The 27,992-nt window shown below is 44.3% G+C and overlaps 1 long non-coding RNA gene across 1 annotated transcript, besides 4 other annotated features; it reads left to right on the forward strand.

The window, feature by feature from the left end:
* The first annotated feature begins 1,745 nt into the window (after nucleotides 1-1,745).
* LOC105372672 (uncharacterized) lies at nucleotides 1,746-27,982 on the forward strand. Its single transcript, NR_134576.1, has 3 exons — nucleotides 1,746-1,903; nucleotides 11,229-11,390; nucleotides 27,922-27,982. It is a non-coding gene; the product is annotated as an uncharacterized LOC105372672 (long non-coding RNA).
* Nucleotides 1,902-2,221: an enhancer, noted in NCBI's record as "active region_18122". NCBI's record gives its function as "activates an Ori minimal core promoter by ATAC-STARR-seq in GM12878 lymphoblastoid cells {active_cell/tissue: GM12878}" and the evidence as "EXISTENCE:reporter gene assay evidence [ECO:0000049][PMID:35858748]".
* Nucleotides 4,162-4,211: an enhancer, noted in NCBI's record as "active region_18123". NCBI's record gives its function as "activates an Ori minimal core promoter by ATAC-STARR-seq in GM12878 lymphoblastoid cells {active_cell/tissue: GM12878}" and the evidence as "EXISTENCE:reporter gene assay evidence [ECO:0000049][PMID:35858748]".
* Nucleotides 14,937-15,701: an enhancer, noted in NCBI's record as "H3K27ac hESC enhancer chr20:52238084-52238848 (GRCh37/hg19 assembly coordinates)". NCBI's record gives its function as "activates a minimal SCP1, AML or CMV promoter by ChIP-STARR-seq in naive H9 embryonic stem cells {active_cell/tissue: H9 hESC(naive)}" and the evidence as "EXISTENCE:reporter gene assay evidence [ECO:0000049][PMID:30033119]".
* Nucleotides 20,289-20,481: a silencer, noted in NCBI's record as "fragment chr20:52243436-52243628 (GRCh37/hg19 assembly coordinates)". NCBI's record gives its function as "represses an EF-1alpha promoter that drives an FKBP-Casp9 reporter gene in an ReSE screen in K562 erythroleukemia cells {active_cell/tissue: K562}" and the evidence as "EXISTENCE:reporter gene assay evidence [ECO:0000049][PMID:32094911]".
* Nucleotides 27,983-27,992: the final 10 nt, after the last annotated feature.

The raw sequence follows: 27,992 nt of genomic DNA on the forward strand, positions 1-27,992 counted from the left end.
ACTCTGGGTCAAGCACACCATCCTCCATTTTGAGATCCCCCAGCAGAGTTGGAATCCAAGTCTCCCAGAGTACAAAGTGGCACCCTAGGAGCAGTGACCACCCCCCCCCACAGCAGGTCAGGGCTGAGCTCTTGAAAATGGCTCTCTGGGTTCAAACCAAAACTCGATTCCCCAGCTGTGCCGCTTTGGGGCTTCCTTTGAACTCTCTTTGACTCCATTTTCCCCATTTTACAGATGGGGATAATAGAACTCCCTAACGGCCGGGCGCAGTGGCTCCAGTTTGTAATCCCAGCACTTTGGGAGGCCGAGGTGGGCAGGTCGCTTGAGCTCAGGAGTTCAAGGCCAATCTGGGCAGCATAGCGAGACCCCTCTTCACTGTCTCTACAAAAAATACAAAAATGAGCCAGGCATGGTGGCTGAAGCCTGTAATCCTAGCACTTTGGGAGCCTGAGGCAGGAGGATTGCTTGAGTCCAGGAGTTCAAGACCAGCCCTGGCAACATAGCGAGACCCCTATCTCAATTTATTTAAAAAAAATAAATAAATAAAAAATAAAAATTAATAGGCTGGGCACGGTGGCTCACGCCTGTAATCCCAGCACTTTGGGAGTCTGAGGCGGGCGGATCACGAGGTCAGGAGATTGAGACCATCCTGGCTAACACAGTGAAACCCTGCCTGTACTAAAAATACAAAAAGTTAGCCGGGTGCGGTGGCACGCACCTGTAGTCCCAGCTACTCAGGAGGCTGAGGCAGGAGAATCGCCTGAACCCGGGAGGCGGAGGTTGCAGTGAGCTGAGATCGCGCCACTGAACTCCAGCCTGGGCAACAGAGCGAGACTCTGTCTCAAAAAAAAAAAAAAAAAAATATATATATATATATATATATGCCAGGCACGGTGGCTCACGCCTGTAATCCCAGCACTTTGGGAGACCAACGTGGGCGGATCACATGAGGTCAGGATTTCGAGCCCAGCCTGGCCAACATGGTGAAACCCTGTCTCTACTAAAAATACAAAAATTATTTTTTTGTATTTGAGACTTCATGTCAAAAAATAAAATTAAATTAAAAAATAGCCGGGTGCAGTGGCTCACGCCTGTAATCCCAGCACTTTGGGAGGCTGAGGCAGACGGGGCGGATCACCTGAGGTCAGGAGAAACCCCCTCTCTACTAAAAATACAAAAAATTACCCAGGTGCTGCGGCGTGTGCCTGTAATCCCAGCTACTCGGGAGGCTGAGGTAGGAGAATCGCTTGAACCCGGGAAGTGGAGGCTGCAGTGAGCCGAGATGGCGCCACTGCACTGCAGCCTGGGCTACAGAGCAAGACTCCGTCCGTCTCAATAAATAATTAATTAATTAATTAAAATATAAAAATAAAATTTAAAAAATAGTACTCGCTGACAAGTGAATTTGGGAGGAATAAGCAAGACCTCACTCGTGGTAACGGGCGCGGGGTGGGGGAAGTCGGGGGGTGGCACACAGCGCTCAGTTAAGTCACGCCATTATGATCACGACCACCGCCCGCGGCCGCAGAACCTGCCCGCTCTGCACACCAGGGCGGACACCCACAGACGCGTCCTTCACCCGCGCAGGGACCTGCCAGGGGCGCTTATACCGGAGGGTGTTCAGAGCAGGAAAGGAAGAGATCAAATCTGAACCCGGATCCGTCTCCTACAGAACCTGAGTCGCTCAATCATCAGCTAGATCGCCCCGTGTAGACAAAGCAAGTGGAATTATTTGAAGAGTATACCTTGAGCTGGGCAATCCTCATAGAAGGTCGGGGACGACCTGCCCTTCAGTGTTCCTGGAGCATCTTCTCCAAAGTGGAGGTCGAGCCAGGCCTAGGAGGAAAGAGAGGGCAACTGCGGACGACCCCACCGCAGAAGAGGTGAAACCGACGGGCTCCAGGTAGGTGTGTCCTCCCCAACCACACCCTCCCACAGGGCCCGGAGACTGGGGAAGGCCGGAGATGAGATTAGGGTCAGAGCCACACCCCTGACCCGCGTACAGGACAAACTGAAGCCACGCGTCTACACTGGCGCTCCGAACTGCGTTGGCCCAAAGCTTCTTCACCGCTTCCAGCGGAGGGCTTAAAGCGGTCCCCCCAGCCCTCACACAGCGGGTTTTCTCAGAACCCAGTCTCCAGAGACCGCCTGGATTCAAATCCTGCCGCCGCCCTCAGCCGCTGGGAGAGCCGGGCCTTGGCCTCACCTTCTTCCCAGCCTCACCTGCAGAATGGGCGTGTCCCGAGGGTTAAATGCCCTCATCACCATGAAGCCTTAAAACGGTGCCTGGCACATGGCGATACGCAATAAACGTCCGCCAAAATGACGTTAGCCAGGATTCGCCCCGGAAGGCTTCCTGTTCTCATACAGCCCTTCAATGAGGGCTAATCCCTTTGGCTCCTTTAACAACTTTTTTTTTAATGTGGTTAGCACATTTTGTTGACTTTTTTTTTTTTACAAAGACCAAGTCAGCATGTCCTCTTAAAAATATCTTAAGAGATTATGTTTTGTTCCTACTTGCTTTGAGGAATGACTTCGTCCTGGTTGAGTGGGGTGAAAACAGTGAAATGCGAACAAGGATAATAAGACCATCTTTCCTGTACTGTTTCTTAAAAAAGGAGGGGAGTGAGGAATTAAAAATTCAGATGCTGGATTTTAAAGACTGTCATGCTAAGTATTTTCTTATCAACTTCCTTTTTTTTTTTTTGTCCTCATATAAACATAACAGTAGTTGAGTTTTTCCTTTCTTCTTGACTCAAAAAAAAAACTGACACATAAACTTCTCCAAACCAATACAGCTGAACTTTCTACAAAGATTTGTAACTGATATATTCCTTAAAGAAAATAAGAATGCTCTGAACAGAAATAAACAGTTTCTGCAGCAGTTTTATTTGAAGCCCACAAATAAAAACAGCATGTCCCCAAGGAAACAAAATAGAATTGGGAGTCGCAGCTAAAATGGCTCTGCCCTAATCCTCTCTTACCCAGTACTATGGGGTTTGTTTACAGGAAACCCTTGCCACGAGAAGTTTTCTGCTAGTTTTCAACCGTATTTTGGCATCATCAACTCAGGCATATGGAAACAAATTAAATATTCAGCTTAAAAAAAAATTACAAAGTAAAGGAAGAGAACGCTGACCTGTTCCTTTCTACCTTCTTCAGGATGGGTAGAGGCATGAAGAAATGCAGGCTCCCCTCCCCCTCCGGGCCACGCTTCCCGGCTGGGTGGAAACTATCTCATTACCACATTTTCAACAAGTAGACCAGTTTCCTCCTTTAATCAAAGTTACTTTGTGGTTGTTTGGCAGTCTGCGCATGCCATGTTTTTATAGCTATAGAAAATGCGTATTTATTTATTTTGAGATGACTATGACCATATGACAAACCTAAGTCAGCCTCTTATAGCCAATGATTTATAAGAGCTCTGAAAAGCCCGGCCTTTAAACATTTTAATAGAGGCTCTCTCATCCTTTGTAAGTGGAAGTGTAAATTGGTACAGTCCTTTTGTAAACAACTCAATGAGACAAGTCAAGGGCCTTACAAATGTTCATACATTTGGATGCAGCAATAACACTCCTGGAATCAATCCTAAGGAAACAGCCCTAATGTAGGAAAAGGTGTTAGGAACAAAGATCTTCGTGGTAACAAGATTTACTACGAGGGGGAGAGCAATACACGTTCACTCTCCATGCATGTGTGGAGGGACACAAATAAAGGAGTGGTTAGTCATCCAAGTTATGTATCCCCACACGATTACATACAGCCATTTTAGAATTAGAAAGCTTTGAAAAATAGGCCATTGGGAAATATTTATAATAGCAAATGAAAAAACCGAGATGCAAAGTTGTATTTTTAATGAACTCTAATTTTTTCTATTAGTAACGAAAAAAGGATGTAATATACATAAAAATATTTAAATTGATTTTATCAGAAAAATTTTAGTACAGACTGAATATTATATGAAAACAAAAAAATTTTATTTCATTAGCTGTAATAATGGCACGGATTATTACAGAATATGCATTATATATATATTTAAAGATGTATACTGAAGGATATAGAAGAATGACATGACATAGGAGAATTTATAATACTTTAGTAAATAAAAAAACAAGAGAATTGAACCAAAGGTGGTTAACATCTTGAAACTAGAACTTGCCCAGGCACCGTGGTTCACGCCTGTAATCCCAGCACTTTGGGAGGCCGAGGCAGGTAGATCATGAGGCCAGGAGATCAAGACCATCCTGGCTAACACGGTGAAACCCCGTCTCTACTAAAAATACAAAAAATTAGCCGGGCGTGGTGGTGGGTGCCTGTAGTCCCAGCTATTTAGGAGGCTGAGGCAGGAGAATGGTGTGAACCCGGGAGGCAGAGATTGCAGTGAGCTGAGATCGTGCCACTGCACTCCAGCCTGGGCGACAGAGCGAGACTCCATCTCAAAAAAAAAAAAAAGAAAAAGAAAAAGAAACTAGAACTGGGCATCAGATATGGGGGTTACTCATTACACTATTTTTATTATTCTCTCTACTTTCGCATACATTTCAAAATTTTTATTAAAATTGTTTCTTTTTTTCTTTTTTTACCCTTAATCCTATGATGGGTTATATTTAAAAATTTTTTTAATGTTTGTTTTTCAATAATGGCATATGTATGACCCTTTTTCTACTTTCTATTTTTCTCTAATTATTTTTCATAATCTACTTATATTACCTTTGAAATAAATTAACATTTATTTTACCAAAAAGTAATTTAAAATAAGAATAGTAAACAGTTCCACAGAAAAGTTTTTCTTGCCATGTAATTCTAGTGAATCCTCAGAATGCTATGATAAGCCTGTGTACCTTAAAATGTGAGCTTCTAAATGGTCCAAATCTTTTGGGACGGCACCGTGCCATCTGAGACTGCTGTAAATATGATCAGCTGATAAAAGGCCAGCTGCAACTAACCATTTTAAAGATTAGGAACCATTTAAAAACACACACACACACACACACACCACCTCTGGCCTCTTAAGTGTTAAGTGGCAAGATACTCTGGTTTATTTCTAAAGTTTCATGCAATAATCACGTAAGCACCGAGCAGGACAGAATTCTACATACCGCCAAGCTGACTCAGAAAGAAGGGTTCCACATTCCTTAATTAGCAGCATGAGAAAAGCACCACTTCCTGCGGTGGAGTTCCCATTTCATCCAGCCACTCCACTGGCTCGGTACATCCTCAAGTCCACGAAAAAGATTTTCATAAAGTCTGGAGACACAGTGTTGTTTAATTTATTTCATTTTACTTTGTTTTGTTTTATCCTACTTTATTCTATTATACTCTATCCTATTATATGTATTCTAATTTTTACAAATTGAAGATGTTTGTAATGACGTAGATTCTTTGTTTCTAGACTTTATGGATGCCTGTATATACTGAAATCACAGTTGGAGGCAGAGTAGGTGAACACTTGACCAACTTGAAAATACAGCTTCTACTTTGGGAGGCCAAGGTGGGAGGATCACTTGAGCCCAGGAGTTTGAGACCAGCCTGAACAACATAGTGAGACCCCCCCATCTCTATTTTTAATCTTTCTTTTTTTTTTTTTTTTTAAGACAGAATCTCACTCTGTCACCCAGGCTACAGTGCAGTGGCATGATCTCGGCTCACTGCAGTCTCCCTGTCCCGGGTTCAAGCAATTCTCATGTCTCAGCCTCCCGAGTAGCTGGGACTACAGGCATGCACCACCATGCTCGGCTAATTTTTGTATTTTTAGTAGAGATGAGGTTTCACCATGTTAGCCAGGCTGTTCTCAAACTCCTGACCTCAAGTGATCTGCCCACGTAAAACTCCCAAATTGCTGGGATTACAGGCGTGAGCCACACACACACCCGCAGCCCCCACCACCACCAGTCGTCTCTATTTTTTAAACGAAAGAAAATACAGCTTTCTTGATTATTAACAGTCAAAAGATTCAAAGTCCTAGACCAGAAGTTTCTTTTTTAGTACCTATGACTTAAGTTTATGATTTGGATTAAAGTTCTCTGGCAGAACACCCACAGGATGCCAAAGCCTGAGGAAGATTTCCGAACAAGATTACACGGTTTTCCAATGGGATACATTTGATCACGTGTGAAAACATGGTGGCAGCACTACTGCAACCTTAAATGAAAGGGCAAATTCTCAGGAAACACATTCTGCTTGTAAATATTGGATGTAACCATTCTAACAGTTATTTACTTTTAACTTGAGAAATTTTAAAGAAATGTAGCCGGGCGCGGTGGCTCATGCCTGTAATCTCAGCACTTTGGGAGGCCGAGGCGGGTGGATCGCCTGAGGTAAGGAGTTCGAGACCAGCCTGGCCAACATGGTGAAACCCCATCTCTACTAAAAATGAAAAATTAGCCGGTCATGGTGGCAGGCGCCTGTATGTAATTCCAGCTACTCGGCAGGCTGAGGCAGGAGACTCGCTTGAACCCAGGAGGTGGAGGTTGCAGTGAGCCGAGATGGCGCCATTGCACTTCAGCCTGGGTGACAGAGCAAGACTCAAAAAAAAAAAAAAAAAATTTCTAGACTTTTTTCCTTTTTCCCTTTCTAAGCTTTTAAAGATTTTATGTCTGTCTTAGTTTTCAAGTTATACAGCAAAACACTGTAGATCCATTACAGAAACACTAAAATTTTAGGGTATAAGAATTCAAAGCTTCTATTATCTGGAACACAAGGGCACCCCTCATTGCCAGTGTATTCTGTTGTGTTCTGTTTGCATAGAATCCAGCCTAAATGCTGCCCACCTGGAGTGAGTTGCTAGATGGACTGAAATAATCCTAGCAAACTTGTAATGGTTTGGGCACAACCACTGCTCCTTTGCCATCTAGCTGGTACTGCTGCTGTTACCAGGTCTGTTAGATAGCGACCGATGAGGCCTCCTGGCCTTGTTGATATTTCTTTGCCTATCAGTGGATCGTTAGTTGGAGTATTTCCTTAGTCACAGACCGGCCTTTTATTGGGATGTTCTCAGTAGGAACTACATTTGCAGATAACAGATGGTTATTTAAATAAGAATGTGAAAAATATATATACTCTTTCTCTTCTGGGGCCTAAGATGGTTTTTTGCTGATTCTTAAACCTGTAGCTGTTTTTATGAGTGGATATCTGATTTTTTAAAAATCTCTCATGACATGTAAATGTTTAAGTTGTTTGAAAACATTTACATTTTCTGACCAGCCAGCAACACTTACAATCTTCCATAGTTCCTAAGATTAAGAAAACAGGAGAAAGCTAGAGAGATTTGGCAAAGTATGTAATAACCTAGCAAGGAAATTCTTGAGCAAGAGTATATGGGTTTGAATTTATTGGAACATTTGAAAGCAATTAAATTTTTTTTCCTCCAAACTTATTTTTGTCCTTTTTAAAGCACACACAGGCAAACAACTGAAAAAGATCATTGCAAGTAAAATGAATCATTAAGCTGATCAAGCCTAGAAACCACCACCAGAAGTATTTATAGCATTATTAGGGTGGAGTATCTATAATCCATTCTCAGACTTATTATAAGTCTCAAGATCCACCCTTTGAAAAGCTAATCCTATCCTCAATCTTCAAATTTAATTAGTATTTATTGATCTCATATGGAACGTCCAGCACAGTGTTAAAAAGGACCATCTTCATCAAAAAAAAAGAAAAATAAAAAAACAAAAAAATGGAAAAAAATAAAGAAATTAAAGAAAAAGCAAATGAAACAAAAGGTACCATCTTCCAAATGTGAGAATAGGTGCTCAAATGATATCTATGGTTCAACTATACATGTGTGTTGAACAAATGTAAATAGCATATAGTAGAAGCCACCGTAAATGAATCAGAATGATTCAGGCTAACTTTACAGTAAACTAGAAGAACACTGCTGTTAGATCTGTGTATCTGCCATATTTCAAATACAAGAGTCCTCACATTTTACAAGGTCACTTAGGAAAGATTAGAGGACACACTCTAATATGCAATGTATAATTCTTTTTTTTTTTTTTTTTTTGAGACGGAGTCTCACTCTGTCACCCAGGCTGGAGTGCAGTGGCACAATCTCGGCTCACTGCAACCTCCGCCTCCTGGGTTTAAGCAATTCTTTGCCTCAGCCTCCTGAGTAGCTGGGATTACAGGCGCCCACCACCACATCCAGATAATTTTTGTATTTTTAGTAGAGATGGGGTTTCACCATCTTGGCCAGGATGATCTTAAACTCCTGACCTTGTGATCCACCCGCCTGGGCCTCCCAAAGTGCTGGGGTTACAGGCATAAGCCACCATGCCTGGCCAATTCTTTTGTTTTTGTTGTTCTGGTCATGCAATGTATAATTCTTTTTTGGTTGTTTGTTTGTTTGTTTTGAGAAGGAGTCTTTGCTCTGTCACCCAGGCTGGAGTGCAGTGGTGCGATCTCAGCTCACTGCAAGTTTCGCTCCTGGGTTCAGGCCATTCTCCTGCCTCAGCCTCCTGAGTAACTGGGACTATAGGCGCCCGCCACCATGTCCAGCTAATTTTTTTGTATTTTTTAGTAGAGACGGGGGTTTCACCATGTTAGCCAGGATGGTCTCAATCTCCTGACCTCGTGATCCACCTGCCTCGGCCTCCCAAACTGCTGGGATTACAGGGGTGAGCCACCATACCTGGCCTTTTTTTTTTTTTTTTTTTTTTTTGAGACGGAGTCTCACTGTATTGGCCAGGCTGGAGTGCAATGGCATGATCTCAACTCCCTGCAACCTCTGCCTCCTGGAGTCAAGCAATTCTCCTGCCTCAGCCTATGAAGTAGCTGGGATTACAGGCACCCGCCACCACGCCCAGATAATTTTTGTATTTTTAGTAGAGATAGGGTTTCACTATGTTGTTGGCCAGTCTGGTCTCAAACTCTTGACCTCAGGTGATCTACCTGCCTCGGCCTCCCAAAGTGCTGGGATTACAGGTGTGAGCCACTGTGCCCGGCCGCAATGTATAATTCTTAAAGAATACTTTTTTATTTTTATGATTAGAAAGCCTTACTTGGCTGGGCATGGTGGCTCACATCTGTAATCCCAGCACTTTGGAAGGCTGAGGCAGGAGGATTGCTCGAGGCCAGGATTTGGAGGCTGCAATGAGCCACGACTGTGCCACTGCACTCCAGCTCGGGCAGGAGAGCAACACCCTGTCACGAAAAAAAAAAAAAATTAATCCCTACATATTATAGAAAATTTCAAAATTGCACCCATAAACCCAACACATAACATGCAGAAATAACCACTGTTCCAATTTTGCTGCCTTCCTGCAGCTTTAAAAAAAAATGGCCATTTTCCAAAACATTATCTGGGCGTGGTGGCATGTGCCTATAGTCCCAGCTACCTGGGAGACTGAGTTGGGAGGATCACCTGAGACCGAGAGTTAGAGGCTGCAGTGAGCCATGATCATGCCGCTGCACTCCAGCCTGGGCAACAGAGCAAGACTCTGTCTCTAATGATTGATAATAATAATAATAATGTAAAGCTTTTTATTTTTCCTTTTTTTGAGACAGGGTCTTGCTTTGCACTGTCCCCCAGGGTGGAGTACAATGTCAGGATCATGGCTGAGACTAAAAGCTCATGCCACCACGCCCAGCTAATCTTGGCTTTTTTTTTTTTTTTTGATAGAGTCTCGCTCTGTCGCCCAGGTTGGAGTGCAGTGGCGAAATCTCGGCTCACTGCAACCTCCACCTCCCAGGTTCAAGCAATTGTCCTGTCTCAGCCTCCCGAGTAGCTGGGAATACTGGCACACGCCATCAAGTCCAGCTAAATTTTGTATTTTTAATAGAGATGGGGTTTTGCCATATTGGTCAGGCTGGTCTCGAACTCCTGACCTCAGGTGATTCACCTGCCTCAGCCTGCAAAGTGCTGAGATTACAGGCTTGAGCCACCACACCCGGCCATCTTTGCATTTTTATACAAATAAAAATAAGTAAATACGGGCTGGGCATGGTGGCTCATGCCTGTGATCCCAGCACTTTGGTAGGCCAAGGCGGGTAGATCACTTGAGGTCAGGAGTTCAAGACCAGCCTGGCCAAATCATGAAACCCAGTCTCTACTAAAAATACCAAAAGAAATTAGCCGAATGCGGTGGCTGGTGCCTGTAATTCCAGCTGCTCAGGAGGCTGAGGCAGGAGAATCACTTGAACCTGGGAGGCAGAGGTTGCAGTAAGCTGAGATCACACCAATGCACTCCAGCCTGGGTGACAAGAGCGAAACTCTGTCTCATAAATAAATAATTAAATAATCTTTACCCTGGTCCTAGGGATGACCCTGCAAAGGGAAGGGGACTCGAGAGTCAGGGGAACCACAGTGGGTGGGAGAGAGACTGACTTTTCTCTGTGTACCTTTTGATATCAGAATTATGTTTTAACTTCATAAAAGATACATATGTCGATTTTTTTTTTTTTTTGAGACAGAGTCTAGTTCTGCCGCCCAGGCTGGATTGCAGCGGCGCGATCTCCGCTCACTGCAAGCTCCTCCTCCCAGGTTAACGCCATTCTCCTGCCTCAGCCTCCCGCGTAGCTGGGACTACAGGTGCCCACCACCATGCCCAGCTAATTTTTTGTACTTTTTTAGTAGGGATGGGGTTTCACCGTGTTAGCCAGGATAGTCTCGATCTGCTGACCTCGTGGTCCGCCTGCCTCAGCCTCCCAAAGTGCTGGGATTACAGGTATGAGCCACCGTGCCCGGCTCTTCTCTTGTTTTTTATTTTAGAATCAATTTTTCTGGGGTTAGGGCAGGGATGGGGTGAAGGGCACAGTAACTAATCATAGGACACCTCTATTTTGCCCTTGAGTAGATTTTCAGAAAAGCCTTGACAACACCCCCAGAACTAGATGGCCTAACCAAATAAAATGGCAACACCTAAAGATACTTATAAAATAAATCTTTAGGCCCGGCACGGTGGCTCACGCCTCTAATCCCAGCACTTTGGGAGGCTGAGGAGGGCAGATCATGAGGTCAGGAGATCGAGACCAACCTGGCTAACACGGGGAAACCCCGTCTTTACTAAAAATACAAAAAATTAGCCCGCATGGTGGCAGATGCCTGTAGTCCAGCTACTTAGGAGGCTGAGGCAGGAGAATTGCTTGAACCCGGGAGGCGGAGGTCACAGTGAGCTGAGATCACGCTACTGCACTCCAGTCTGGGCAACAAAGTGAGACTCCGTCCCAAAAAAATAAAATAAAAATAAATAAATAAATCTTTACACTATTTGTGGTTTATATTCTAGGGCTTTTTCACTCATTCCCTAGGCATGTGGGACCTCGAAGATGCCGAATCAGCTAAACGGGAGGTGGCTTGAGTAGGATTTGCTGCCAGCTAAAGCGTGAGATGCTATTGCATGTGCAAGGCAAGGCTTTCTTCAGCGGCATCATCTTCCAAAATAGCCCAGGTATATCTCACCAGAATTAAACCGGGCTGCAGGTGGCCTTTCCTCATACTTGACCAATGACGTGATTAATTTAGATCTGTTCGGAAGTATTTATTTAAATCCATTCTCTCCCTGAGTAGGTGTGAACTTTCCTCTTCCTACTATTTCTTTGAAATATTTCCACCTTACATGAATGAGCCATTGCACTGGAGCAAGTTTTCTTCCAGAACATAAAATAGATCATATGTATTCACACAAATGTAAAAACGATGTGCAATTTGAGCTTTCCCTCAAAGAAAATAACAGTGATTCTGGTTTTAATTCCTGGTATTAAATGTTGCAAGATTGGTAATTTGATATCCAGTGTGAGAATCTAACATGGGGTGCCTCTCTTCTTTGTCTATCTCTATTCTATTTCTTTTTCTTTTTTCTTTCTTTTTTTTTTTTTTTGAGATGGAATCTTGCCCTTGTTGCCCAGGCTGGAGTGCAATGGTGCAATCTCGGCTCACTACCACCTCTGCCTCCCAGATTCAAACGGTTCTCCTGCCTCAACCTCCTGAGTAGCTGGGATTACAGGCGCCCGCCACCACGCCCCGCTAATTTTTGTATTTTTAGTAAAGACAAGGTTTTGCCATGTTGGCCAGGTTGGTCTCAAACTCCTGACCTCAAGTGATCCACCTGTCTCAGCCTCCCAAAGTGCTGGGATTACAGGCGTTGAGCCACTGCGCCTGGCCCTCTATTCTGTTTCAATCCAACTATATGTCTGGTTTGAGGAAATAGCCAGGGACCCACGCTGTGATTAGCCCAACAACCCAAGCAGGGCTGACTCCTGAAGCCAGAGTAGTAACAATCAGTTCTGGCCTGGCTGGTCACGGTGGCTCACGCCTGTAGTCCCAGCACTTTGGGCGACTGAGGAGGTGGGGGGGGGGGGCAGATCACTTGAGGTCAGGAGTTCGAGACCAGCCAGGCCAACATGGCAAAACCCCATCTCTACTAAAGACACACAAGAAATTGGCAGGGTGTTGTGCTACACGCCTGTAATCCCAGCTACTCAGGAGGTTGAGGCAGAAGAATCGCTTGAATCCAGGAGGCAGAGGTTGCAGTGAGCCGAGATCTGGCCACTGCACTCCAGCGTGGGTGACAGAGTGAGACTCCATCTCAAAATAAATAAATAAATAAATAAATAGGCAGGGCATGGTGGCTCATGCCTATACTCCCAGCACTTTGGGAGGCCAAGGCAGGCGGATCACGAGGTCAGGAGATCGAGACCATCCTGGCTAACGCGGTGAAACCCGGTCTATACTAAAAATAATAAGATTAGCTGGGCATAGTGGCAGGCGCCTGTAGTCCCAGCTACTCGGGAGGCTGAGACAGGAAAATGGCGTGAACCCGGGAGGCGGAACTTGCAGTGAGCCGAGATCGCACCACTGCACTCCAGCCTGGGTGACAGAGCCACACTCCGTCTCAAAAAATAAATAAATAAATAAATAATCAGTCCTGACCTAATACAACAGACATGAATGGCAAAAAGTTTGATTGTGCAATTTTCTCCATAAGAGGACCTGAGGCAGGTCGTATGCTTGCTGTCTAGAAAATAATTTCAATGTATTTTGGATTCATCCATACTAAGCAGTTTTTGCTTTGTTAACTGTTTCACCTTATGAGATTTTTATTTTGAGAACAACGTGTGGTGAACGTTGGGATGTTTTTTTCTTCCTCCTCTTTTTTTTCCCTTCTGCTTTAAAAATAAGATAAGCTTGCATGCAAATAGAGTTCAGGGTGACCACAGTAACATTCTCAGCTTTATTTACTGAATTACGGAGTCTCCCTTCACTTGATTAAGTTCCATTTGCATATCTTTAACATGAGAAACACTTTATTCCACTTTATTCCATTAATGAGTCATTTGAGACATCTTCAGAGTTTATAGCAATGCTGAAAGAATGGATGTCTTCTGTATGAAAACTTAGGGGTTGTTTTATGTGCAGAGAAAGAGAGAGACAAATAGAGGTTTTTTAAAAAAAAAAATTCTAAAACTGAAATGTGCTCAAATGAATTAAAGATATTTGAAATATATTTATGTATGTATTTCTAGCTAAAGAAATATATAGTATAACATTCTCATTCTATGAAGAAATAGGCTATTTCCTTTTGTGCTACATATAATTAGTTTTCTTTTTTTTTTTTTTTTTTTTTGAGATGGAGTCTTGCTCTGTCACCCAGGCTGCAGTGCAGTGGTGCGATGTCGGCTCACTGCAAGCTCCGCCTCCCAGGTTCACGCCATTCTCCTGCCTCAGCCTCCCGAGTAGCTGGGACTACAGGTGCTCACCACCTCGCCTGGCTAATTTTTTGTATTTTTAGTAGAGACGGGGTTTCACCGTGTTAGCCAGGATGGTCTTGATCTCCTGACCTCGTGATCCGCCCGCCTCGGCCTCCCAAAGTCCTGGGATTACAGGCGTGAGCCACCGTGCCCGGCCATATAATTAGTTTTCGAAGAAGAATAATAACTCTATATGTTTACTATTTTTATTTTTTTAATTTAATTTTTTTTTATTTGAGACGGAGTCTTGCTCAGTTGCCCAGACTGGAGTGCAGTGGCACAATCTCGGCTCACCACAACCTCCACCTCCTGGGTTCTAGCGATTCTCCTGCTTCAGCCTCCTGAGTAGCTGGGATTACAGGCGTGCACCACCACACCCAGCTAATTCTTGTATTTTTAGTAGAGATGGGGTTTCACCATGTTGGCCAGACTGGTCTCGAACTGCTGACCTTGTGATCCACCTGCCTTGGCCTCTCAAAGTGCTGGGATTACAGGCGTGAGCCACCGCACTCGGCCTATTTTATTATTTTTTATTTTATTTTTGGAGAGCAATGGCACAATTTCGGCTCACTGAAATCTCGACCTCCCGAATTCAGGCGATTCCCTTGCCTCCCGGAGTAGCTGGGACTACAAGCGCCCACCACCACGCTCGGCTAATTTTTGTATTTTTATTAGAGACAGGGTTTCACCATGAGGGCCAGGCTGGTCTTGAACTCCTGACCTCAAGTGATCTGCCAGTCTCGGCCTCCCAAAGTGCTGGGAATACAGGCTGTGAGCCACTGCGCCTGGCCTGAATTTTTATTTTTTTTTTTTGAGATGGAGTCTTGCTCTGTCGCCCTGGCTGGAGTTCAGTGGCAGGATCCCAGCTCACTGCAACCTCCGCCTCCTGGGTTCAAGCAATTCTCCTGCCTCAGTCTCCTGAGTAGCTGGGATTACAGGCATGCGCCACCACACCCAGCTAATTTTTTGTATTTTTGGTAGAGACGGGTTTCACCATGTTGGCCAGGCTGGTCTCGAACTCCTGACTTCAAGTGATCTGCCTGCCTCAGCCTCTCAAAGTGCTGGGATTATAGGCATGAGCCGCTGTGCCTGGCTGAATATTTTTACATAGGAAAACAAAAGAGAGAGAAAAAGAAAGACAATCTCAATGCTTTTCTCAGAAAGAACAGGAAGCCTCAAGGAGGAAGTAGGTGACAGTTTATTTTTCAACAAGCACACGTTATCAAGTGAATGAAATTCCTCTGGAAGCTATAAAATTGAAGATTGGAGGATGGCAGTGTTCAGATAGCATGAAAGGTTGCTCACTATTTAGGAATTTTTTTCAAAGCTAAGTTATTAATGAAAGCCAATTATTTGCACTTTTCCAGAAGGAAACACTGAGTCATTCATGAAATGATCTAAGATTTTGAAACTTGCTTACACCATTTTTTTCCCCTCCTCCTTTCTTACCTGTGCCAAAAACAGAAAAGCCAACTACTCACTGGGGCCTAAATCCAGGGAGCCTGCACCAAATTAGCTCAAGACTGGAGTAATTTAACAGACTCGTGATGCCCCGAAGGCTTAGGTCCTACCAGGATGGTAAACTCTGAAGTGCCTCCATTGCCCCCGCAGGGTGCAGAGCACAGGGGCCTGGTCCCCACCTCTGGAGGGCCTGTGATTAACTGGTTCTGGCTCAGTAATTATTTAGCCATATCCCTGGACTGCCTCCAAGTTTCAAGTCGAACAGCAAAAGGGCGTGGGCCCGCAGATAGGCAGAACCGTGCTCCTAGGAGGCATTACTTATTTACAGCCAGATCCCTACGGAATTTGGCCAGAGATGGGATACAGATGAGAATGTGTTTGGCTAGGAAATACTGACTTCTTGATGCATTTATGGAAAGTTTGTGAGCTTAGGCCAGTAAACCATGTCAAAAACACAGTCAACAAATGTTTGTTTCAGGAATAAACTGTGAGTGAGGTGGTTTTAACCTAGGGACAGCTTCATTCTGTTTCTTTCCTGGTGAGACTATTTCTAGGTACTTTTTAAAAAACGTACGTTGAGGCAAATTCACTAAGAGTCAAACCACTGAAGTTTCTGGTTAGGCCATCAGTGGAAGCTGCTTATTTCATCTTCACAAACAACTGTAAGTCCATGTAGATAAATAATGTAGACAAGGAAACAATGTTTTGATCCAAACAATACAGAAAAGCTTGGAATTGTGCCTCCTTAACGTAACACCTTATGTTTGCATTGTTCTGTTAAAAGGATTTTACAGATACATTATCTTAAAATGACACTGCAAGGTACAGAGGGGAAGTTGAATGTCCCATTTCACAGATTAGACAACGGTGGCTCAGAGAGACCATGACCTTCCGAAGGTCACAAAATTAGTACATTGCAAAGTCCATGCTTAAATCCAGGGCCCCTGGCAAGAGTGCTGAGCTTGCCCCTTACAAACCGGATCTGAATGTTCCCTTCTGTATACCAGGACTCTGTGAGCTTATGTCCTTTGGTTTTGCATTAAACCTGAGCTTTTAGCTCCTAGAATTCACAAGGAATATTCAAGTCTATTTCCACTCCCTACCTTGAAGCTCCTGGTCTGTTTTCACAACAGGGGATGTGCCTGTTTGAGAAGGAAGTGGTCTAGAGTCTGGTATTAGTGTAAAATGGCTTCCTCTTTTTCTCCTTGAATTTATTCTGGTAGTATTTTATCCCAATACTCCTCCCCCGCAGCAAAAAAATCCCAAATTCTGCAACACAATTGAGGAACTTAAAAAAAAAAGAAAAGAAAAACCTTTCTCATCCACTAAGATGTTACTAATGATCACCAGTGATTTTTAATTCCCTTTGTATATGTGTGTATTTTTCAGCTTTTTTTTTAAACAATGATATAGGGTGGGGTTTTCTAACATTTAGGGAAAAAATTATTTTTAAAAAATCTCATTATTTTTGTGTAATTCACATGGTGTAATTCACACAATGGGTGGTTATTACTAACACCAGTAGGAAAAAATATCACAGGAGCTTCATGACAAATCCTTAGGCAGGGTTTAGGTCTCACTAATTTAGAATATGCCTGGTAAGCACTGGTTAAAAATTGATGATCCCGGGAAGTCTTTCTCAAACGATTTTTGTAAAATACCTAGGAGACCTTGAACTGTCTGTTACGGAGGTTTCCAATCCTGAGGAGAAGGACGGAGGGTGGCGTTCACGAGGGATACTGCCTATTACTCAGCTTAAAGTCCCCTTGGCTCTGCCCTCCTCCTCCTCCTCGTGCTGCGAGCTGGGAGGAGTCAGCGTTTTCTCTCCCTAACTGGCATTTTCACTAGGCAGAATACTTGTCTTTTGTGAACGTTTTCATTTTCAAGACATATAAAAGAAAACTTTGTTCTTTAGTAAGTGATTTTCTCCCCCGACAGGGAGAGGGTTACAAATCCCTCCCTCTCCAGCGGAGTTTTCTTATCTCTTATTTACAGAGCAGTAGCCATTTTGGGGAGGGGGAAAAGTTGTCAGCAACTCACGTCCTAATAATGGCAGATATTTTTCTTAAGCCCTCACCATGTCCCAAGCACTCTCCCAAGAGTTTTACATGTATTAACTCAGTTAATCCTTCCTAGAGCCTTATGGTATACGTGCTATTAGGATCCCGATTTTACAGAGGAAGAGACTGAGGAACAGAAATGTAAACTAACCTGCCAAGATCACACAGAGGCTGGGATTAGCTCTCTGACCTCTGTCCCAGAGGCAGAATTTTTTTCTAATCTCACGAGTATAGGTGAAAGTCAGAGTCTCATTACAGATTGAGACTGAACAGAAAGTTGGAATCCATTGAAAAAGAGGTGTGTGACATTGATCAAGGCCAGCACTTTTATTTTTGCCCATTTATACTTCCTTAAAAATCTATGAGCCAACTCTGTTGTTACAACACAAACATGCAGTGGTTCCCTAGCCAGGTCAGGTCAGCTAGAAAATACAACATACGCTCTTGAACAACTAGATTTATTTCAACCCAATTTTCAATGTTTATATAATTCAATTGTAAAATGTTAAAACTTGGAGGATTTTATTCACCAGCTGAAGGACTCATAGTTACTATCTTTAAAAACAGCAGTGAATAAGCAAACTATAAACTAACAAAAAAACCAAGCACAACAAAACAAACAGCAAATTAGGTTTAATCATAATGCTTGGGAGAATATGTATTTGGCTTAATTATATTTTCTTCTTTTTTTTTTTTTTTTTGAGATGGAGTTTCGCTCTTGTTGCCCAGGCTGGAGTGCAATGGCACGATCTCAGCTCACTGCAATCTCCGCCTCCTGGATTCAAGCGATTCTCCTGTCTCAGCCTCATAAGTAGCTGGGATTGGCCGGGTGCAGTGGCTCACACCTGTAATCCCAGCACTTTGGGAGGCCGAGGCAGGTGGATCACGAGGTCAGGAGTTCAAAACCAGGCTGGCCAAGAAGGTGAAACCCCGTCTCTACTAAAAATACAAAAAATTAGCCGAGTGCAGTGGCAGGCACCTGTAATCCCAGTACTCGGGAGGCTGAGGCAGGAGAATCGCTTGAACTCGGAGGGCGGAGGTTGCAGTGAGCTGAGCTCGCGCCACTGCACTCCAGCCTGGCGACAGTGTGAGACTCCATCTCAAATTAAAAAAAAAAAAAGAAAAGTAGCTGGGATTACAGGTGCCCGCCACCATGCCCGGCTAATTTTTGCATTTTTAGTAGACACAGGGTTTCATCATATTGGTCAGGCTGGTCTCAAACTCCTGACCTCAGGTGATCCACCTGCCTCCGCCTCTCAAAGTGCTGGGATTTCAGGCGTGAGCCACCGCGCCCGGCCAATTATATTTTCTAGTTACTCAGCTATCTACAAATAAAGGTTTTGTTTCATCTTTACATATTTTAAATATGTCTTACTATATATTTATATGTATACATAAATATTTCTTGTACTCTTTTAATATGTAAGGAATAGTTTTCCATCTTTAAACATGTTTAATATGGTAAACATCCTTTTTTATGAAACAAGATTGAATATCAATAAACTAAACCACAAGTAGAAAAAACTATCATTTTTCATGGAGAATTCACAGTTCTTTAATGCTCTCATTCTGAATCTGAATAATCATTCATGATGAAATAGAAAGCACAAATAAGTTTTACCCACATGGACTCTTCATAACATTCCCTGGAGGCTTCCTTTTTCAGACCAAATCTTTAATATCAGTTCTGTCCTTATGATTTATCTCTTCCTCCTTCAAAAGAGAAAGTAAAAAAAAAATAAAAATTAAAGGCTTTTTTTTTTTTTTGAGACGGAGTCTCACTTTATCGCCCAGGCTGGAGTGCAGTGGGGCAATCTTGGCTCACTTCAACCTCCACCCCCTGGGTTCAAGTGATTCTCCTGCCTCAGCCTCCCGAATAGCTGGGATTACAGGCACCTGCCACCGTGCCCGGCTAATTTTTTTATTTTTAGTAGAGACAGGGTTGCACCATCTTGGCCAGGCTGGTCTTGAACTCCTGACCTCGTAATCCACCCACCTTGGCCTCCCAAAATGCTAGGATTACAGGCATGAGCCACCGCGCCTGGCCTAAAGTCTCAGTTTTTATACATACACACACACATATTTTTTAATGTGGCACACACTATATAGAATATTGCAGTGCAATTTTAATGAGAAAGAAAAATGATCTTTGAGACACAACTGAAATTGAAGTACACAGAACTTATATTGTTCATTAAAACTTGTCTTTATTATACAGTTTCTAAACACTGAAGGACACAGGCAAAAGCTATGACCAGTATAAATTTAATTAAGCTTTCCATTCTGTGTATGATGAAAAGAACCGAAGTCTGTCATTTTAAAGTGAACTCCATGTAAATCCCAAGAGAAAAGTGTAAATGATTTTATTGTATGAAAAAGTTCAGTGAACTTTGAAATTCTTATTGAGCATAATAGACTTATACTGATCAAACCAGGCCAGGTGAAGTGACTCACACCTGTAATCCCAGCACTTTGGGAGGCCAAGGTGTGAGGATCACTTGAGCCCAGGAGTTTGAGACCAGCCTGGGCAACAAAATGGCACCCCATCTCTATTAAAAAAAAAAAAATTAAAAATTAGCTGAATGTGGTGGTGCACACTTGTGGTCCCAGCTACACAGGAGGCTAAGGGCAGGAGGCTTGCTTCAGCCAAAGACGTCAAGGCTGCAGTGAGCTATGATCGCACCACTGCACTCCAGACTGGGCAAAAGAGTGAGCCCCTGTGTCTAAATAAATAAATAAATAAATAAGAAAAAGCCAAACCCCATGATGCAAAAGATTTTGCCAATCCCCCTGCACCAAGAAGTGGTGTTCCCTCACCACAAACAGAAGATGTTTCATTCAGGGAATCCTTCACTAAAGGAAGACATAGTAAGCCAATGCAGCCAAAAAAATCATCTATGCAAAGTCCATGGCTGTCTTCTATCTTTAGCATTACAGATCTCAGAATCAAATAGATAGAGGCTGAGTGGGGTGGTTTATATCTGTAATCCCAGCATTCTGGGAGGCCAAGGTGGGAGGATCATTTGAGGCCAGGAGTTGAAGACCAGCCTGGGCAAAATAGCAAGACCCCATCTCTATTACACTTATTATTATTTTTTTTTGTCATTTTTTTTTTTAATTTTTGTGGAGAACGGGGCCTCAGTATATTGCCCAGGCAAGTCTCGATCTCCTGGGCTAAAGCTATCCTCCTGCCTCTGCCTCCCTGAGAGCTGGGATTACAGGCATGAGCCATTGTGCCCAGCCTTGAGGGGAGTTACAGTTCTTTTTTTGGTCTTTTTTTTTTTTTATCTCTATTAAAAATAAATAAGGCTGGGCGCAGTGGCTCACGCCTGTAATCCTAGCAGTCTGGGAGGCCGAGGTGGGTGGATCACCTGAGGTCAGGAATTCAAGACCAACATGGTGAAATCCCGTCTCTACTAAAAATACAAAAAATTCCCCAGGCGTGGTGGCACATGCCTGTAGTCCTAGCTACTTGGGAGGCTGAGCAGGAGAATTGCTTGAACCTGGGAGGCGGAGGTTGCAGTGAGTCGAGATCGCGCTATTGCACTGCAGTCTGGGCAACAAGAGCGAAACTCTGTCTCAAAAATAAATACATAAATAAAAATAAATAAAAAACAAATAGATATAGAAAGAGGTTTATGACATGACTGATCTGTAATCTGAGAAAAATCCTATCAGTGTGCAATACATGAAAATCTTACCCTGGGCCGGGCGCTGTGGCTCATGCCTGTAATCCCAGCACTTTGGGAGGCCGAGGTGGGTGGATCATGAGGTCAAGAGATTGAGACCATCCTGGCTAACACGGTGAAACCCCGTCTCTACTAAAAATACAAAAAAATTAGCCGGGCGTAGTGGCGGCACCTGTGGTCTCAGCTAACTCAGGAGGCTGAGGCAGGAGAATGGCGTGAACCCGGGAGGCAGAGCTTGCAGTGAGCTGAGATCGCACCACTGCCCTCCAGCCTGGGCAACAGAGCTAGAGAGAGAGACTCTGTCTCAAAAAAGAAAAGAAAAGAAAAGAAAACTTGCGTAGTGTTTGCAAGTCAGCTTCTCCTTGGCACAGGAAATAGAATACCCGAGGCCCATGATAATTTTAGGGGCCCACAAAAATATTTTTATTTTAATTTATTTTAAGGACAGAAGAGAACATGAATAATATTCATATATATAGTAATATAAAGCATTCATATATAATATATAGTAATGAATCCAGCCTGAATTATATTTCCTCTTCAGGCCAATGTAGTCATAAAATATAATTTTTCATATCCTTTTATGGAGGAAGGGGTCCACAAAGGCAAATATATCTCAGGCCCTTAAGAGTCATGATTGGGCTGTGTATGCTATGGAAACCTGTAAGGAGCTTGGAGGTGGAGGGAGTTTGGATGAGGCTTCTAGGTAGGAGGGACCCATTGAGTGGAGACCTGAAGGGAGAATAGAAATCAACTACGCTAAAGGCAGGGCAGAGGCCAGGCATAATGGTTCACGCCTATAATCCCAATACTTTCAGAGTCCAAGGCAGGTGGATTACTTGAGATCAGGAGTTCGAGACTAGCATGGACAACATGGCGAAACCCCATCTCCACTAAAAATTAGGCAGGCATGGTGGCATGTGCCTGAAATCCCAGCTACGTGGGAGGCTGAGGCAGGAGAATCGCTTGAACCAGGGAGGCGGAGGCTGCAGTGAGCCAAGATCGTACCACAGCACTCCAGCCTGGGCAACAGAGCGAGACTCCATCTCAAAAAAAGATAATATTAATAATAAATAAATAAAAAATAAAGGCACGACAGGGAGGAATGAACACTGAGAAGGTAGAACAAGGAAGAGTTTTCTTTTTTTTTTTTCTTTTGAGACAGAGTCCTACTCTGTCATCCAGGCTGGAGTGTAGTGGCGCAATCTCGGCTCACTGCAACCTCCGACTCCCAGGTTCAAGCGATTCTCCTGCCTCAGCCTCCCGAGCAGCTGGGATTACAGGTGCACCACCATGCCTGGCTAATTTTTTTGTATTTTTAGTAGAGACGGGATTTCTCCATGTTGGTCAGGCTGGTCTCCAACTCCTGACCTCAGGTGATCCACCCGCCTCGGCCTCCCAAAGTACTGGGATTACAGGCGTGAGCCACCTCACCCGGCCAGGAAGAGTTTTCTAAGTAGAGGGAACAGGATGTGCAAAGCCCCTGGGGTAGGAAGAAACAGGAACATTTGAAGAACTAAAAGAAGAAAGTAACACTGGTTAGAGAAACTGCAGCCAGGGGAAGAATAGTGTGAAAAGAAACAGAAGCCAGTCAATGCTGGGCTTATAGACAATGGGAAAATATGTTCTGTTTTTTTCTCTCCTTTGCCTGATCTCTAGTTTGCTTACAAAAGGAAATAAAGATTTCCTTTTATTGGTTTGCAAATTGTACATGAGTATCTACTTTATCTTTTTTTTTTTTTTTTTTTTTTTTTTGAGACAGAGTTTCGCTCTTATTGCCCAGGCTGGAGTGCAATGGTGCGATCTCGGCTCACCGCAACCTCCGCCTCCTGGGTTCAAGTGATTCTCCTGCCTCAGGCTCCCAAGTAACTGGGATTACAGGCATGCACCACCACGCCCGGCTAATTTTGTATTTTTAGTAGAGACGGAGTTTCTCCATGTTGGTCAGGCTGTTCTCGAACTCCCAGCCTCAGGTGATCCACCCACCTCAGCCTCGCAAAGTTCTGGGATTACAGGCGTGAGCCACCTCGCCAGGCTAGTTATTATCTTTTTCTTTCTTTCTTTTTTTTGAGAAAAGATCTCACTGTGTTGCCCAAGGTGGACTACAGTGGCATGAACATGGCACACTGCAGCCTTGACCTCCTAGGCTCAAGCGATCCTCCTGCCTCAGCCTCCCAAACTGCTAGGATTACAGGCATGAACCACCACACCTGGCCAGTTATTATCTTTTTAGTGCTAATAACCATCTAGGTTTTGGTTGTTTGTTAGGATTTGGAGATATCTCTGAAAAAAGAAGGAAGAAAGCATTCATGTTTCTTCATATAGAATGAACCAATTTATAAAAAAAAGAAATGAACCAACTTCTTTGTCTTTCAGAAGTTTTCTTAGATACTGAGATTTGATAGTGAGGCAGGATAATCCAGTTGTCATCATGACTATTATAATTTGAAATGTTCCCAAAAGCTTTATGTCTGACTGTAAACATATTCATGAAGATTTTAGTTTCACAATACTTACTCTTTACCATTATAGAACAAAGGTAATGTATTTTGGTAACTGCGAGGTAAAAGGAGAATTAAAACTGTAAATACAGGCCTCCGTCAGTATTTATGGGGGATTAAGTTCTAGGCCCTCCCATAGATACCAAAATTCACAGACGCTCAAGTTCCTTGTATAAAATGGTGTAGCATTTACATATAACCTAAACATATTCTCCAGTATACTTTGTCATGTCATCTCTAGAGTCCTGTTTTTTTTTTTTTTTTTTTTTTGAGATGGAGTCTCGCTCTGTTGCCTAGGCTGGAGTGCAATGGCGCGATCTCAGCTCACTGCAACCTCCGCCTCCAGGGTTCAAGCAATTCTCCTGCCTCAGCCTCCTGAGTAGCTGGGATTACAGGTGCGTGCCACCACGCCTGGCTAATTTTTGTATTTTTAGTAGAGACGGGGTTTCACCATGTTGGTCAGGCTGGTTTCAAACTCCTGACTTCGTGATCTGCCTGCCTCAGCCTCCCAAAGTGCTAGGATTACAGGCGTGAGCCGCGGCACCGGCCTCTTTTTTTTTTTTTTTTTTTTTTTTTTTTGAGACGGAGTCTCGCTCTGTTTCTCAGGCTGGAATGCAGTGGCGAGATCTCAGCTAACGACAACCTCTGACTCCCGGGTTCAAGCAATTTTCCTGCCTCAACCTCCCGAGTAGTTGGGACTACAGGCACATGCCACCATGCCCAACTAATTTTTGTATTTTTAGTGGAGACGGGGTTTCACTATGTTGGCCAGGCTGGTCTTGAACTCCTGACCTCGTGATCTGCCCGCCTGGGCCTCCCAAAGTGCTGGGATTACAGGCATGAACCACCTCGCCTGGACCCAACTTATTTATTCTGTATTCCTTTTTTTTGAGACGGAGTCTTGCTCTGTCGCCCAGGCTGGAGTGCAGTGGTGCGATCTCGGCTCACTGCAAGCTCCGCCTCCCGGGTTCACGCCATTCTCCTGCCTCAGCCTCCCGAGTAGCTGGGACTACAGGCACCTGCCACCATGCCCAGCTAATTTTTTGTATTTTTAGTAGAGACGGGGTTTCACCGTGTTAGCCAAGGTGGTCTTGATTTCCTGACCTCGTGATCCGCCCACCTTGGCCTCCCAAAGTGCTGGGATTACAGACGTGAGCCACCGCGCCTGGCCCCAACTTATTTATTCTTAATATCCACTAGGCCAAATACAGTGGCTCATGCCTATAATCCCAGCAAATTGGGAGACCAAAGTGAGAGCCTGGCTTGAGCCCAGGAGTTTGAGGCTGTAGTGGGCTATGATCGTGCCACTGCATTCCAGCCTGGACAACAGAGCAAGAACCTGTCTTTATTTATTTATTTATTTATTTATTTATTTATTTATTTATTGAGACAGAGTCTTGCTCTGTCACCAGACTGGAGTGCAGTGGCGCCAACTGCAACCTCTGCCTCCCAGGTTCAAGCAATTCTCCTGCTTCAGCCTCCTGAATAGCTGGGATTACAGGTGCCCGCCACCACGCCTGGTTAATTTTTGTATTTTTTAGTAGAGATGAGGTTTCACCATGTTGGCCAGGCTGGTCGTGAACTCCTGACCTCCGGTGATCCACCTGCCTCGGTCTCCCAAAGTGCTGGGATTATAGGCGTGAGCCACCGCGCTCAGCCAGGACTACTTTTTAAAATAATAAAGGCTGGGCACGGGCACAGTGGCTCACCCCTGTTATCCCAACACCTTGGGAGGCTGAGCCTGGAGGCTCACTTGAGCCCAGTGGGTTCCAGACAAGCCTTGAAAACATAATGAGACCCTGTTATTTTTTACAAATCGTAAAGATTTGTAAAATCCTTGTAACATTGTGCCATCGCACCCCACCTTGGCCACAGAGCAAGACGTTGTCTCAAAAAGTAATAATTCGTTAAGATCTTAGACAAGGTCTATACATTGTGCTTGGTTGTTATTCTGCATCTATCATATATGAAGCCTGAAGCCTGATGCTGGTGCAGGGTGTGTACCTAAGAAAAGCACCTTCCTCTCCCCGCCTTGCCCCTTGGCGACGAGGCTCAAGGCTCCAGGCTGAAGAATCAAGTTGATCATCACAACAGCAGTAGCCTCCTAAGCACTCTCTGCAGCTCCACTCTAACTTCCCCTCCGGGCTCTTCTCTTCAGAGGTGCCATTCACGCCACTGATCTTTGTTGAGCTCCTACTGTATGCCAGATACGTCAGGACACATTACTGCAAACAGAAACCTTGGTCTTCATGGAGGTGACAGCTTAGGGGTTTAGGAGGGGAGATTTTAAAAAATGATAAACAAGATAGTAAGTTAAATATAGAAAAGACAGATGATGATAAGCTGTTAAGAAAGAAGGATAGGGCCGGGTGCAATGGCTCATGCCTATAATTCCAATGCTTTGGTAGGGCAAGCTGGGTGAATCGCTTGAGGCCAGGAGCTAAAGGCTAGCCTGGACAACACAGCAAGACTCCGTCTCTACAAAGAAAACAAATTTGAACAACATTTTTAAAAATTAGCTGAGCGGCCAGGCACAGTGGCTCAAGCCTGTAATCCCAGCACTTTGGGAGGCCGAGGTGGGAGGATCACCTGAGGTCAGGAGTTCCAGACCAGCCTGACCAACATGGAGAAACCCCATCTCTACTAAAAGTAGAAAAATTAGCTGGGCGTGGTGGCGCATGCCTGTAATCCCAGCTACTCCGGAGGCTGAGGCAGGAGAATTGCCTGAACCCAGGAAATGAAGGTTGCGGTGAGCCAAGATCATGCCATTGCACTCCAGCGTGGGCACCAAGAGCAAAACTCCATCTCAAAATAAATAAACAAAAATAAAAATAAAAATTAGCTGGGCAGGCCGGGAGCAGTGGCTCAAACCTGTAATCTCAGCACTTTGGGAGGCCAAGGTGGCAGATCACCTGAGGTCAGGAGTTTGAGACCAGCCTGGCCAACATGGTGAAACCCTGTCTCTTCTAAAAATACAAAAATTAGCCAGGTGTGGTGGGCATGCCTGTAATCCCAGCTACTCAGGAGGCTGAGGCAGGAGAGTTGCTTGAACCCGGAAGGGAGACGTTGCAGCGAGCCGAGGTTGCATCATTGCACTCCAGCCTGGGCGACAAGAGCGAGACTTTGTCTCAAAAAAAAAAAAAAATTAGCTGAGCATGGTGGTGCCCACCTGTATTCCCAGCTACTTGGGAGGCTGAGGCAGAGGGAATCCCTTGAACCTAGGTGTTCAAGGCAGCAGTGGGCTAGGATTGTGCCACTGCATTCCAGCCTGGGTGACGAGAGAGAGAGAGAGAGAGAAGAAACAGCGAGCCAGGCACGGTGGCTCACGCCTGTAATCCCAGCACTTTGGGAGGCCGAGGCGGGCGGATCACGAGGTCAGGAGATCGAGACCATCCTGGCTAACGTGGTGAAACCCCGTCTCTACTAAAAATACAAAAAATTAGCCGGGCGTGGTGGTGAGCACCTGTAGTCCCAGCTACTCGGGAGGCTGAGGCAGGAGAATGGCGTGAACCCGGGAGGCGGAGCTTGCAGTGAGCCGAGATCGCGCCACTGCACTCCAGCCTGGGCGACATAGCAAGACTCTGTCTCAAAAAAAAAAAAAAAAAAACACAACATGTGGCCTGACTCTACCATCTTGGACAGCACAAATGTAGATTTCTATCATCACAGGAAGTTCGGTTGGACAGCATTGCTCTGTAGGATTCATCTGACTCTGGTTTTCCTAGATAGATAGATAGATAGATAGTTAGATAGATAGATAGATAGACAGATTTTTTTTTTTTTTTTTGAGATGGAGTCTTGCTCTGATGCCTAGGCTGCGGTGCAGGGGTGGAATCTCAGCTCACTGCAACCTCCTTATCCCAGGTTCAAGCGATTCTCCTACCTCAGCCTCCCTAGTAGCTGGGATTACAGATGCCCGCCACCACTCCCTACTAATTTTTGTATTTTTAGTAGAGACGGGGTTTCACCATGTTGGCCAGGCTGGTCTCAAACTCCCGACCTCAAGTGATCCACCCGCCTCGGCCTTCCAAAGTGCTGGGCTTACAGGCATGAGCCGCCGCACCAGGTCATGTTTTTATTTATTTTTTGTTAGATACTGGGTCGTGCTATATTGCCAGAGCTGGTCTCAAACTCCTGGGCTCAAATGACCCTCCCGCCTCAGCCTCCCAAAATGCTATTTTTCCTTTTTACGTGTTAAAGAAACCTGGACACATGTCTGTAAAAGTTCCCCACGTTTTAAACTCTGGTGATTTCCAACTCCCTGGTGTTATTGAACCTGTTTCTCCATTCTCTGTACTTCCTGTAAACCAGGAGTTAGACCTGGAGGCCTGATTAGATGCAGGGTTGATTCTTGGGAGCAGTTGAAGATGACAGGCAACCTGATTCTCGGTATTGTGTTAGAAAGCACACAGAGTGAGTGGAATCTAGAAGGATGTACACCAGCACGTTATCGGTAGTTATTTTGGGGAAGTAGAGTGACCTTATTTTTGCTGATCTAAATTTTATTTCTTTTTTTCACAGTGAGCATGCCTTTCTCCTGAAAAATAAAAAATAGTTGGTGTTTACTGCAATCGTATGGCAAATACTGTGTT

The sequence above is a fragment of the Homo sapiens genome, chromosome 20, assembly GCF_000001405.40.
Source record: "Homo sapiens chromosome 20, GRCh38.p14 Primary Assembly".
Classification (NCBI taxonomy): Eukaryota; Metazoa; Chordata; class Mammalia; order Primates; family Hominidae; genus Homo; species Homo sapiens.